This window comes from Homo sapiens, chromosome 8 (assembly GCF_000001405.40).
Source record: "Homo sapiens chromosome 8, GRCh38.p14 Primary Assembly".
Taxonomy (NCBI): domain Eukaryota; kingdom Metazoa; phylum Chordata; class Mammalia; order Primates; family Hominidae; genus Homo; species Homo sapiens.
Window position 1 is genome coordinate 58036059 of NC_000008.11, and position 13426 is coordinate 58049484.

The 13426-nt window shown below is 39.1% G+C and overlaps 1 protein-coding gene across 4 annotated transcripts in view; it reads left to right on the top strand.

Annotated features, from left to right (window-relative positions):
* The window catches only part of FAM110B (family with sequence similarity 110 member B), a 154262-nt gene that overhangs the window by 41536 nt on the left and 99300 nt on the right, over positions 1-13426 (top strand). The window contains exons 3-4 of one of the 4 annotated variants that reach the window (XM_047422400.1): positions 955-1058; positions 7126-7241. The exons of 2 other annotated variants lie outside the window; for them this stretch is intronic. The gene's annotated coding sequence lies outside the window, so the exon portion shown is untranslated. The remainder of the gene's footprint in view (positions 1-954; positions 1059-7125; positions 7242-13426) is intronic. One more of the 4 variants, NM_147189.4, reaches the window with a different exon arrangement.

A 13426-nucleotide genomic window follows, 5' to 3' on the forward strand; every position in this document is an offset into this window, starting at 1 on the left:
TGGTGACTTGTATTCCTGTAGACCCTTATATCAGTTACACACCAAGGGAAGGAGTAGGCAGCCTCTCTTTCAGAATCATGGTGCCACGTCTCTCATGCTGACTTAAGTCCACCTCTTAGAGTGGTTTTATCAGTGTCCTTTGCTACATCTTTTCTCAGCTAATTTGGGATGAAAACATTCTGTCTCTATTAACATCATTATATTCTGGCAGAGAACAGTATTACGCCTGAATTTCAGCAAGTCTGTTTGCATTTCACAGGAGAGAGCCAGGCTCAGCCAGACATTTTATATTCTGTGTGAAATCAAGACTTATTATCTTACTTGATAATACCATTCCTCATGGTGGAAATCTAAAACTGAACTTGCTAAGTGTTCTTCTTTCCAACAGTAGACATCAGCAGTCTTAAAAATCACTGACTTTTTAAAGTAAATTTGCCTTATTTCATGGTTGCCCACAGGTTAGGATTTGTCATGAGATTAAGCTGGTAAGAATAATACAGCCACCTCTCAAAATTTGTAATCATGCCAAGTGAAAGTTTCTGAAAACCAAAGAGTAGTTAAGGTGCTGATCTGAATGGGATAGATTAGTGAGAACCCCCACTCTTCTTGCACACATGTGCACATGCAAACACATGTGTGCACACATACACACTTCCCAGAGGTGTGATTTGATTTTGGACTTCAGCTGTAATTGAGTTTGCTTCCTTATTTGCTTTAGGTATTGATCTGACTTGAGTACCATTGAAGAGCAAACCCCTTAAGCATGAGTGTATTTTAATATGTAGTAGTATACAGTTCTTCAACCTCTTCAAACCCTAAGAATTTGAATTTTTCTTCTCCAAGTACAAGAGTATACTGGTTTTGTGAAATTTGGTAATATAAACTTAGATTTTCCCGGAATGAGTTTCCCTTATTGTTATCCAATCATACTTATTATTTTTTACCTTGTTTCAGTGTTTGAGTAAAGGGGAAGAACATCGGATGGTGTGTTTTGGTTTTTCAGATTGTTTGAAAACATCAAAGTATTGATAGACCCTTCATGTATTAATGCCGTTAAGGTACAAGTATGTTAAATTTTTTTTTACATAGTCTATAAGCTGATCAACCTACAAACCTACTATCTATAGTAAATGCATTCTTATTGTTACATAGGATTATCTTTTTAAAAACAGTACTTTTAGTGATTTGAGGTTTTATATATTAATATATAATTTTTACTTGCCTTCTCTCTAAAAGGAAGTTTTTTTGGTTTGTTTGTTTGTTTGTTTGTTTTTTTAATTAAAATGTCCTCCAATTTGGAGCTTAGAATGGTGGCTTATGAAATCCCAACACTTTAGGAGGCCAAATTGGGAGGATTGCTTGAGGCCAGGAGTTTGAGACCAGCTTGGCAACATAGTGAGACTCAGTCTCCACAAAAAAAAAAATTAAAAATTATCCTAGTGTGTGGTGCACGCCTATAACCCTAGCTACTCAGTTAAGCTTAGGCAGGAGGATTGCTTGAGCCCAGGAGTTGGAGGCTGCAGTGAGCTGATAGTGCCACTGCACTCCAGCCTGAGCGACAGAGTAAGACTCTGTCTCTTTAAAAAAAAAAAGTTTTCCGATTTAGGTTGCATACATCAGTCATGATGATGAAATTCTTTTTTCACGAAAAGTATTGTTCACAATCTGTTTAGCTTTTTTAGTGGCATCTCTTTTCAGTGAGTACTGTCTTTGGCAATGTTTTCTGACTTGTTTCCTAACTTAATTAGAATTGGAAAACAGCCGTTACTTTTCTCTCTTTCTCTTTGTTGTCTGGGGCCGTCATACCTGACTATCTTGATTTTCGCTTTCTCCTTCCCCCACTACAGTTAACGCTTCATCTCTGAGGCTACTTTCTTTGTTTGGAGTCTATCAGCTGAACAGATAGGCATCACCAATGTGTGACACAAGCAGGGACTGTCTGGGTTTGAAATGCAAGATGTATTGTACCAAATGAATTCTAGATTGTTTTGCTTAGTAGCTCACCCAATTTTTGTTTCTTTAATCTTCGAAAGATACGACTGGGAGGATACTTGCACCTATTGAGAAAGCGTGTGGTCCTCTCCCTGAGTGATTGCTGATGACATAGAAATGCATGGTAGCCTCTTTTCACTTAAAAATTAAGTATCAGGTACTGCTTACTCTAAATTAGGTTACAGAGCTGCCATCACTCCTCATCATCAACCCTCGGACCATTAATGACTGTTCTGTTTACTCAGAGCTGTGTTATATTTTGCATATGGAATCCTGGAGTGTTGAAGACAGAGATGTTGCATATTTAATTTTAACTCCTTGATTTTCAGAGGAGAAAACGGAGATCATTTCACAATTGCCTTGTAAATAGCTATAAGAATACAGCAAAGGTATTCTTAGTGTAGGTATTCTTCATGTAATTAAAATATCTATGAAAATTACCTTTAATCCCAGCACGTTGGGAGGCCAAGGCAAGTGGATCACTTGAGGTCAGGAGTTTGAGACCGGCCTGGCCAACATGGTGAAACCCCATCTCTACTAAAAACGCAAAAGTTAGCCAGGTGTAGGGGCACAGGCCTGTAATCCCAGCTACTTTGGAGGCTGAGTCAGGAGAATCATTTGAACCTGGGAGGCAAAGGTTGCTGTGAGCCAAAATCGCATCACTGTACTCCAGCCTGGGTGACAGAGTGATTGAGACTCTGTCTCAAAAAAAAAAAAATCTCTGAAAAGTAACAAGTGCATCAAATTATATTAAAAGTGATGAGCTCTCTCTACCCACCCTTCAGATCCACTTCATCCCGGACCCAGAGAAGAGCTTGGCATTCAGGAATTTCCTAAACAGCTGTGTGTTTGTGTTTGCTCATTCATTGGTTCCTTTAACAAATGTATTCTGGGCACCCGCTGTGCGGTGCCAGAAAGACGTGGCTCTTGATTGAGAAGCACATAGTTAAGCCACCAGAGTTGTTATCTGATCCCATATTTCTTTATATTTAGCATTTGACTGAGCCTGCAAGATTTGTGTTTTTGACAGAATTCCCTGGAGGAGCTGAGGAAAGCATGTCAGCCTGACGGCATTTCTCTGGAGCCAGATCGCCGGGTGCCAGCCTGGGCTGGCACTCACAGGGCCCCTCCTTGCTGGCCCTGCTGAGCCCAGAGTCATTGTCATTCTCAGAACCTCCTATGTTTGGGTTATGCTGAAAATGCAGGGAGCTCTCTTAGATCAGCCTTAATTTGACTGGAAGAGGAAACTCATTTCCTGCAGAGTGCCTGTAATGTGTCCAGTCCCTGTTTGTCTCCCTGCTGGTTGGCCGAGGCAGGCGAGTCCACCCTGGAGCACCACAGGCCTGTTCCAGGGGCCAAGAAGGCCTTTGTCTCCAGCTTCACTTTCTTACTCTTTGCTTTTCAACTTCTCACCAGCCATGTAGAAAAAGTCTTATACATGTGAGATCCCATTGAGTTTATATGGTGTTGAAATTTCACTCACTAGTACTCTTCTCACAATTTTAAAAATAGTCATTTAAGAAGTTTTGTCTGTTGAGTAGGCTGTGTTAGGAGCCGCTCCTATCTATGGGACAGTGGGAAGTACAGCAGGAATTTCAGAGCCAAATTTCAGATCTGCCTCCTGATAGTGGTGGTTTGAGTCACATAGAGTAAGGTTAGTCTCCCCCTCTGGAGGTCACTTCTTATATATATTTAAACATACACACACACATACACACACATTAGAGACAGGGACTCCGTCCCTTGCTCAGGCTGGAGTGCAGTGATGTGATCATAGCTCACAGTAGTAACCTTGAACTCCTGGGTGCCAGCAGTCCCACCTCAGCTTCCCAAGTAGCTGGGACTACAGGCATATGCCACCGTGCCTGTGGAGACAGTGGTGTGGTCTCTAATTTTTAAATTTTGAATATTTAAAATTTTTTTAATTAAATTTTTAAATCTTTTACATTTTTAATTTTTAAAAAAATTTAAATTTTTTGTTTGTAGAGACAGCCTCTCACTGTGTTACCCAGGCTGGCCTTGAACTCCTGACCTCAGGCGATCCTCCCTTCTCTGCCTCCCAAAGCACTGGAATTGGTCAGCGCTTCTTCGACATACTGTACCCACCTCAGCAATTTTTGAGTGAACGCTTTTTTTTTTCTCCTGCAAAATATTTAACATTCCCTACTTGTTATTTGGGCACAAATAATTCTGTCCCCAAAGTGGATTCATCTGCATTCTGTGATAGTTTATTTATTGAACATACAGCACACAGAAGCAGTTTGCTTTCCTCTAACGTTACCAATACCTGAAATATGCTTACGAAGAGAAACTGGTATCTGTATCCCAGTGAGCATGTGCCATATGCGCATGGCGGCTGCTCTCCCAGGCGTTGGCTTGTGGCTCCTGCACAGTCATCTTGTCAGCATCACAGGCCCACATAGAGACCAGGCACTCCAGGGCCGCTCTGCCTAGATTAGAGCTGGAGGAAGAGAAAATACTAACCCAGGCAGCAGTGGCCATTAGCCCACCCAGAACCAAATGCCTACACCCAAAACGGATGCATTCACATCTTAGGAAATAGTGCCTGTTTCCATATAATTTTAAAAACACTGCCTCACCTTTTTTGCTAACAATTATATTAGGAACTTTAAAATTGTATTTTGATTTGAAAATCTAGAGACTTACATTAAGGTAAGTGGAAAGTAAATTATAGCTATGCAGGATCAGCTTTTTTAAAAAAAATCAGTTTTTAATGAGACTGAAAATGTCCACTTATGATATTTCTTCTTTCTCTACTATCCTTAAGTTGGCATACCATGGTTTATAGCTAAAATAATAAATGGTAGTGATAAATGTGATAAATGTACATTTTTTTAAAAGCAGAGGTTAGAAATGGGAAAATCTTTTTTTTTTTTTTTTTTTTTTTGAGACAGAGTTTCACTCTTGTTGCCCAGTCTGGAGTGCAGTGGCGCGATCTTGGCTCATTGCAACCTCCGCCTCCAGGTTCAAGTGATTCTCCTGCCTCAGCCTGCTGAGTAGCTAGGATTACAGGTGCCCACCACCACATGTGGCTAATTTTTGTATTTTCAGCAGAGATGGGTTTTCCCCATGTTGGCCAGGCTGGTCTTGAACTCCTGACCTCAGATGATCCCCCACCTCAGCCTCCCAAAGTGCTGGGATTACAGGCATGAGCCACCGCGCGCAGCCGAAAATGGGAAAATCTTAATCGTCTGTGCACACCTCACTAACATATCCAGATGAAGGGAGTGAACATTAGTCGCAGTGTTCGTTCCAGCAAGAAATGGGACCACTGTTTTAATCTAAAAGGTGATGATAGTTCCCACTCTTCTCCTATGTTACCCTTCTGTCCACATCTGAAACATCCAGTCATGACTATGTACCATCAGTGGTCCTCATTAATTGATTGATGGTGATATTTTAGCCAACATATCAGCAAATGTTCTTTGCTGATTCTGTCTCCCCCATCCCCAACAGTTTGATTTGTTGTTATTCTGCAGCTACTGCCCATGTGGAGTGAGCCACAGTCAATGGAAATCATAACACATGGGGAGTCTTGTTGCCAGGTAGGGAAGGTAAGCACACTACCCTGCATGGTAAAATTCACTCACTACAGTGGTAATCAGCTGTCACCAACTTGTGACATTGATGCCTTGCATTGCACTGATTGGTGGAGGAAGAATAGGGGTCATCAGCACTTACTGGTGTTAACCATCTGCTAAGTAAGGACTTACTTAAAGCTAGTGCAGGTATTCCTATTCTCTGAATTTCAGCTGTAGGACTCACTAATCACTTAACTGGCAGATGGTTGACAGACAGCTGACTTCTGCTGTCAGTCAGGAAGCAGTGCTAGGAATTGAAATTATTTCCTTGAACTCTGATTTTTCTTAGATGAAATAAGCAGGGTTCTCGCTTCAGTTCTTAGTGGGATAGAGCCTTTGGTACAGTGTGTAAACTCTCCAAACCTGTTTCCTCCTGTTTACCATATAAAGGCTGAATAAAATAGATTTTGATTTCTCTGTTTTCATAAGACATAGAATTTTTTATGTGACTGTTATAATCAGGCAAAAATTTAGAACAAGTACTGTTATTGGACTGAAAGCTCCTATTCCATCTTTTTAGATTCCACACATGTGATCTAGTGTATGGTACTAATTGCATTTATGATGAAGAAATTCTAAAATCACAGATGTTGATTAATTTAAAAATAGAACATATGCATTTTTATTAAGCTGTTGAGTTACAGGGTTTGGGCACCACTTCCTGATTTTCTGGCACAATCCAGTGGTAATGAGAATTGTGAGTGCAATGTCAGCATCATGCAGAGATGAAATTAGGGGACCCATTTGTCTTTTGGCTGCTTTTTGCAGAGATTCTTTTACACAACCTATCTATTCCTAGTTTAGTCAGACCTCTAATTTACCTGGATTTTTCTGTGATACAAACTTCAGTTTTCCCCAGTGGGATCTCCCCGTCTTATTTCTTCCAAGAGAACTAGTTAGGTGATTGGTTGCAAGAGGTACTGTGGGACATTTTGGTACAGTTAGATAATGTGTGCACCATCATGTGCCAGCATTTTATGAGTAGGACTGCGCTTTTCTAGAATTGCTAGATGTAGGTGTGAGAGAAGCTTGAATGTTGCATATATTTAATTCTCTTTAAAAATATGTTTCTTGTGTATGTTGTGTTTTCTACTATCTAAAACTGTAATCCACATCAAAACTGCTTATCAAATCTCCTGGATGCTTGCGTAAGAATTGAAATAGATAAAAAAGCATCTGCAAATTAACATGCCAGGACTTTTTCTGGTTTCTAGCTGTCCCACTTCACACTGTGGGAATAGTCCTGGCTCCCTCCAGCCTGGGAAACTTTGCGTGGTGCTTTCATCTTTGTAACACTTCCTTCTCTCTCATAGCACCAGGAGCAGGGCCTGTTTGCACTGCAGTGAATGAGATAATTTTCCAAGGTGGGAGTGCGATGCACCAGGGATTAGCTGATATTTAAAGAATATGAATGAAAGCAGCAAACACCTCACCAGGGCAGGCTGCACGAGCCTTTGGGCAGTTATTCCCTTGTAGGATTTGAAGTTTTATTGGCAGCTGATTAGGTAAACTGGAGTCGTTTGTCCCCTAGGTGCGTCCCTACCCAAGAGGAGAGGTGGCCAGTAAATGTCAGCTGAGGCACCGAAGGCTGCGATGCACCAGCCCGGTGCCCTGTGAGGACGGCCACATCAATAGTGGTAACACTCAGTGAGTGCGAGTTTGCTTTTCAGACCTAATGATTACTTCAAGTCAGGGATTTTAACTTTGTCAGAAACTTGAGTTGTAAAACAGATTGGTCTGCTGAAAACTTCCCTGTTAATCAAGAGCCTTCATTTTCTTTTTATTTATTTATTTTTTATTTATTTTTATAACTTTTTTTATATATATTTTTTATTATTATACTTTAAGTTCTAGGGTACATGTGCACAACGTGCAAGTTTGTTACATATGTAAACATGTGCCATATTGGTATGCTGCACCCATTAAGTCGTCATTTACATTAGGTATATCTCCTAATGAAGAGCCTTCATTTTCAATCTGGAATACATCACTAATTCTTAAACCCCTGACCTCTTTCTGCTTTGATTTTTTTACCTAATAGAACCAATACGAAATCCAAACACTTACATAGTTTGCTATTGCCAGGCACTGGTTTAGCTATTTTACATGTATTACCTCATTTAATCCTCCTAACAGCTCTGAGGTAGGTTCTGTTATTATGCCATTTTATAGATGAGGAGACTGAGGCATAGAGAGATGAAATACTTTGATTAGGGTCACACAAGCTAATAAAGTAGTGAAGCAGGTACTTGCATCCAATCAGACTGATTCTAGAATTCCCTTCTCTTGACTGCTATACTGTAGTGTCTTCAAAAAATGTAATGCACATCTCCCTTATTTCTTTGCATTTGGTTTGACTATGTGAATACACATTTCCCCTTTTATGGGAGATGTTTGAACCAATGAATATGAATACTATTTTTCTGGGCTTAGATATGTTTTGGGGGGCTTGAATAAAGCACCTCATCTGTGCTACTTGTGAATTACTTTCTAGAGCAGCATGAGTTCACACCTAGATAACATGTGTTCTCAGAGGCACTGCATATACTCATACAAGTGAATAATGTGCAATCCTAGGGGTGCCACTTACATAGACTACCGTGGTCATGATGACCCCTGAGATTGTTCAGTGTGCAGCCTGTGCAACTGTCTGTGCAGCCCTTCAAAAGCTGCCTGACAGCCTTATTTAGATAACTTTCAGGAACATACAGAAAACAAATATATCTCTGGTAATAGTTCATGCTTTATAGGCTTACCTCAGTGCATCGAAGCTACCTTTCAGTTAAAAATGTATGAATGAAAAAATAAAAATATGTTATGTAGGAAATGTCTGTATATTAAAATATCCATATAAAAGCAGCAGCTACCAGGTAAATAAAGAAGCTGTTAGGGTGGCAGCTGAACAATCAAACTAAGTACCTGCACTCATTTCTAATTTAGATGGACCTTAGTAGCCAGACTATGGATGTTACACTTAACAAAATCATCAGCTTTGTAACTTTGCAAATTAGACACTGACACAATAGAATCAGAAAATAAAAACCAAATGGAAATATTTCAGCTGTCATTTAGCTTGAAACAAGCAAAACTCACTCACACATCAGACTTCAGGGCATCATGGATGCTCTTTAATGAAGAGCATTGTGGTTAAAAATCAGGCAACACTTGGAAATTTTTATGAGACAGGGGCAGAATACTTTATGGATGAAGTGAAACAGAGCCCTCAAACTGTTTTTATCAATTAAGGATATTCAATATTACATGAGTTATGTAGCATTTATACTACTTAGTTTTAGGAAATAATGAGTTAACTGGCTAAAATAAAAAGCTCTCTTTTTAAGGAGCTTTAATTAGGTAAAAGTCAATGCTTAATAGCCTGTTAAAGCATTATTTTAAAAATTAGTGGAGTGGAATTCATTGTAAGCTGACAATCTTAAGTTGGTGTGGTGTAGGTCTCTGCAATTATGATGGTTATTGACACCTTTATTAAGGGAGGAGGGCTAGCACGGGGCTTCATGTGGAGTTCAGAGCACACTTGAATTCCATTCCCTTAACTGTTCACAGCAGTGCTGTGTGCATCAGCAGTCATCAGGGCTGTGGCAGGGTGTCAGCAAAGTGACATATAACCACACTCTCTCTCGCTACTGTGTCGCTCTTCATTTAGTAAGTTCAGTGTTAATAGTAGGATGAGGATTTAAGCATCTTGAGGGCAGGATGTTTTATCTGTTTCTTGACTGCTCTATCCCCAGGGCCTGGCACCCAGTGAAATGAATGAACTGTTTCCTGATCTGACTGCATGCACGCTCTGTGTACTCATGAGGCATAGGTCTGTTTCTGTGAACAGCTTTACTATATGTGATGTCTTCTAATGACTTGGACTTCTTTTAATATTGTACTTATTTTTATTTTATATTGTGACCTTGAGGCCAGTTAGCCACCCAGGTTTCATCTGACAGACATGTTTCATAGTTGATTAGAGCAATTAAAGTTTTATCTATTGGATAAAATTCAAAAGTCATCGGCCATCTGTGAAAACCACTGCACTATGGACCACAGACCAAGGAGGATTTTCATCTTATGAAAAACAAAGAAATTATATTAAGATCCTAATACCAGAAGGTGGACATTCCTTTACAGAGAATGTCTTAGTTTGCTCAGGTTGCTATAACAAAATATCTCAGGCTGAGTAATATATAAACAACAGAAATTGATTGCTCACAGTTTTGGAGTCTAAGATCAAGGCCCCAGCAGAGTTGGTGTCCAGTGAGGGCTCCTTCCCCATAGATGGTGCCTTCTATGTGGGTTCACAAGGCAGAAGGGACAAGGCAGCTCTCTGGGGCTCTTTTCTAAGAGCCTGATCAAAAGCACTGATCCCATTCATGAGGTTGCAGCCTTTGTATCCTAATCATCTCCCAAAGGCCCCATGTTCTAATACCATCACCATGCTGATTAGGTGAATTTTTTTTCTGCTATGATCTTATTGTTAACATAAGAATCACTTCAGTAACATAAAATATGATATTCATTAAGCATGGTGGCCAAGTTAGCATTATATTAGCTCTAATTAGCTATAATTGAATTTTTATATTTTATGCAATTAAATTGTCAAAACCAACCATTACTATATATATTAATAACACAACTGTGAACTTTAAAAGTGTTAGTAATTCAGTCTTCTAGGACTCCTGGATTCTCAGAAATCATTTGCACATAGTTTTTGTCATTCTGAAGAGTGCCCATTTCACAGATGAAAAAACTAAGGCACAGAGCAGTTCTGTGGGGCCCAGGAGTTAACTAACAAATGTAACTGAAGACTCATGATTCCAGGTATTGTGTTCTTTCTAGTCTACAGTACTGTGTATACCAGGAATCCTCATTAACTACAACATAGTCATCCATTGGCAAACCTGAGATAACCAGAAAACCTTAGTTAGATGTACATAGGTATGTAATTTCTTCCTTGCTGGGGCAACCTTTGAAACTCCCTTAGAGCAGGAATCTAAGAAGAAAATCAATGTATCCCTCTTACCATAGGCAAAATAGCATTTCTTAATTTTCAACTCCTATCATCTGCTCCTGCTCTCACTTATTTTGCAAGAAGAGTCATTGATGCCAAGTCAGGCCACCATAATGGCCAGTTTTAATTACTGCATCTCCTGTCTTACACTAGACCTTGCAGAGGGGTCACACTTTACTGTAGTGACTATAGTGCAGTTGAATGTGCAATGTTTGGGTGGTTTTACACATGTTGGAGAGAATTTGTACTATAGGACATAGGGTCTTAAGGTAAAAGTGTTGGGCTGAGAATCCTATGAAATATATATGGCAGATTTCTAGAGCTGATGTCGACAGCCGTAATGTTAACACATTTTCAAAGCAAAGAAAGTTGGATAGAAGAGTTACGAAGAGAAAATATTGGTGATGATAGGGGACATTTCCAAACGATATTGAAAATAATATTCCAGGAGATAATTTGATTAGGTAGAAAATGCAAACTCAGTACACTGCTTTCCTATGAAAACAGTGAAGACTCTTTAATAAGAATGAGATATTCTGCTTTTTTGGAAGCGGTGACTGAGCATTCTGCAGGATTTCAAATAGTTAAATAATTGTTACGCCTTGGCCCAGGAGTCTCAGCCTATCTGCAGAGAAGAGGTAAATATTAAGTACCTGAAGCCTTTGCTCTGAGGTCTGTGTTGGGGGAGGATGTTTGTAGTAAGGTTTGGGTCTTGGGGATGCATTCATAAACTATAGAGATATGTGATCTATGCCTGGAAGCTGCCATTTTTGTTTCCTTTAGAAGTTCCAGAGTAGAAGGCACCATCACAGTCTCCAACCATCACCTCAATGGCATCCCTGAACTACATCTGGGGTGTAGTTCCAGCAACTGACCAGAGGCACTCTGTACCTCATCAAATTGTAATTAATCTTCCTTTTTCCTCTCTCTCTCTCTCTCTCTCTCTCTCTCTCTCTCTCTCTCTCTGACTTATATAAATCAAGTCACGGTCCTTAGTAAATATCTGAAGAGGTACCTATTAAATAGGAATAGTAATACAGGCATTCTATCTGTACAGTTTATACTTGTTTTGGTAAATGACTGATCTCTTGTAAAACTTGAGAGCTTTTTCTGGGCTATTCAGTGTGCATAATGAATATTGATATCTTAGGGCTTTAAAAAATAGCTTCTTTATGTAGGAGTTAGTGTGCTTGGAGACCAGTTTGAGAATTTTGAAAAAAAAATTTTTTTTAATGTCAAAGTAGGATTTAATTTAAACTTTAGCGTCTTCATCTTAACCCTCTTTCAACTTCTCCAGAAGAGTTATTAGCATAAAAGCTTAATGATTTACATCTGAAGGTTATGTATGTACTGAGGAAATTCAGTGTTGATTCTAAATACTTCTTAGTCATCCTTAAACCCAGCTTGAAGCTCTAGGGTGCTTAAGCGTAGTTCATTATTACAGAAGTAACTCATCAGTGAATTGTTTGGCAAACAGCAGTCTGTAGTGGTTTTTCTCTAACTTAGGCTCTTTCAGAAGTGTCTGCATTTTCCAGGAAAATTATCTGTTCATATTTTGAGGATAAAAATAGCATTGAAAGGACTTTTAGTGCAGATTTGCTGGGGCTATTTTGGTGGTCCTGATTTTTTTTTATTTTAAAAAGGAATATTAACATTGATCTCACCATTATACTTCTTGGAATTCCTTACCTGCTGATACCTGACACCTTTGCCTCTGTGGGGGAATTTCCCATTATTGGGGTTTCCTCAGGCCCCAACCCTCCTGTCTCTTCTGCCTGCCCTCCTCCAAGGCATTGGTGTCTTCCTAGCTTGATCATCTGCCCCTTCCTTCCCCCTGCCCTCCTTTCCTTTTTAGTTGTGGTGAAAAACATGATACAAAATGTACCATCTTAATCATTTCTAAGTAGATAGTTCTTTGGGGTGTTTTGTTATTGTTTTATATTATGAATTTTTAATTTTAAAATGTTCACATGTTTATTAGCTGCATCTCTACAGCCAAGATCTAACCTACTTCAGGGCTTGGGCCCATGTTGTCCTTCTCACTACATTCAATCAGTGCATTCATTATGTGCCTGTTATTTCCAAGCACTCTGTTTTGCATTCCTGACTTTGTTGAGCACACAGCAGATGTTAAACATCTGATCACTGAGTTTCAGAAATTTTTTTTAGGAATGATTTTCAGTGGTAGAATTTGAAAACAGCTTGTGTGAGTAGTCATAGCTCATCCTTTTAAAAATAAATGCCAAATAAGAAATGGATTATCGTGGGGAAGTCTCTCACTTAAGAAAAATCATTATAGAGTAATACCGATTGAGATTTTCATTTCCTTTCAGCAGGACTGGTAGGATAGATATTGTGTGTGTGTTTTTTCTTAAACTATAATGGTGATTATTTTCTTTTTTAATTACTCTGCCATCTCAAGAATACATGTATTGTCATTTTAGATTGCTGGGTCAGGAATGAAAGTTTGAGTGTGTTTGATTTCAGTCCTGAACTCTCATATATTATGTTTCTGGGGAGTAAGCTTGGTTTTGATATAACTTTCTATTTGGGGGATTTTAGAAGTTAGTGCATAAAATAGTGCTCCCTTTGCATGGATGGATGAAATTTTGTGGTGTTCAAACTGTTGTATTAGAGATGTGAATGCCTAATCATAACAGATTAAAAACTGTCAACTATCTTTCATATTTAAGCAAGTTACAATGGATACAAATATTTCTTGAAAAGCTAGTCTTTTTTTTTTTTAAATGTAGTTGCTTACACTCCTTAGGTGCACAGCAAATGCCAGAACTGCCCTAATTAGGTCAGATGTTTC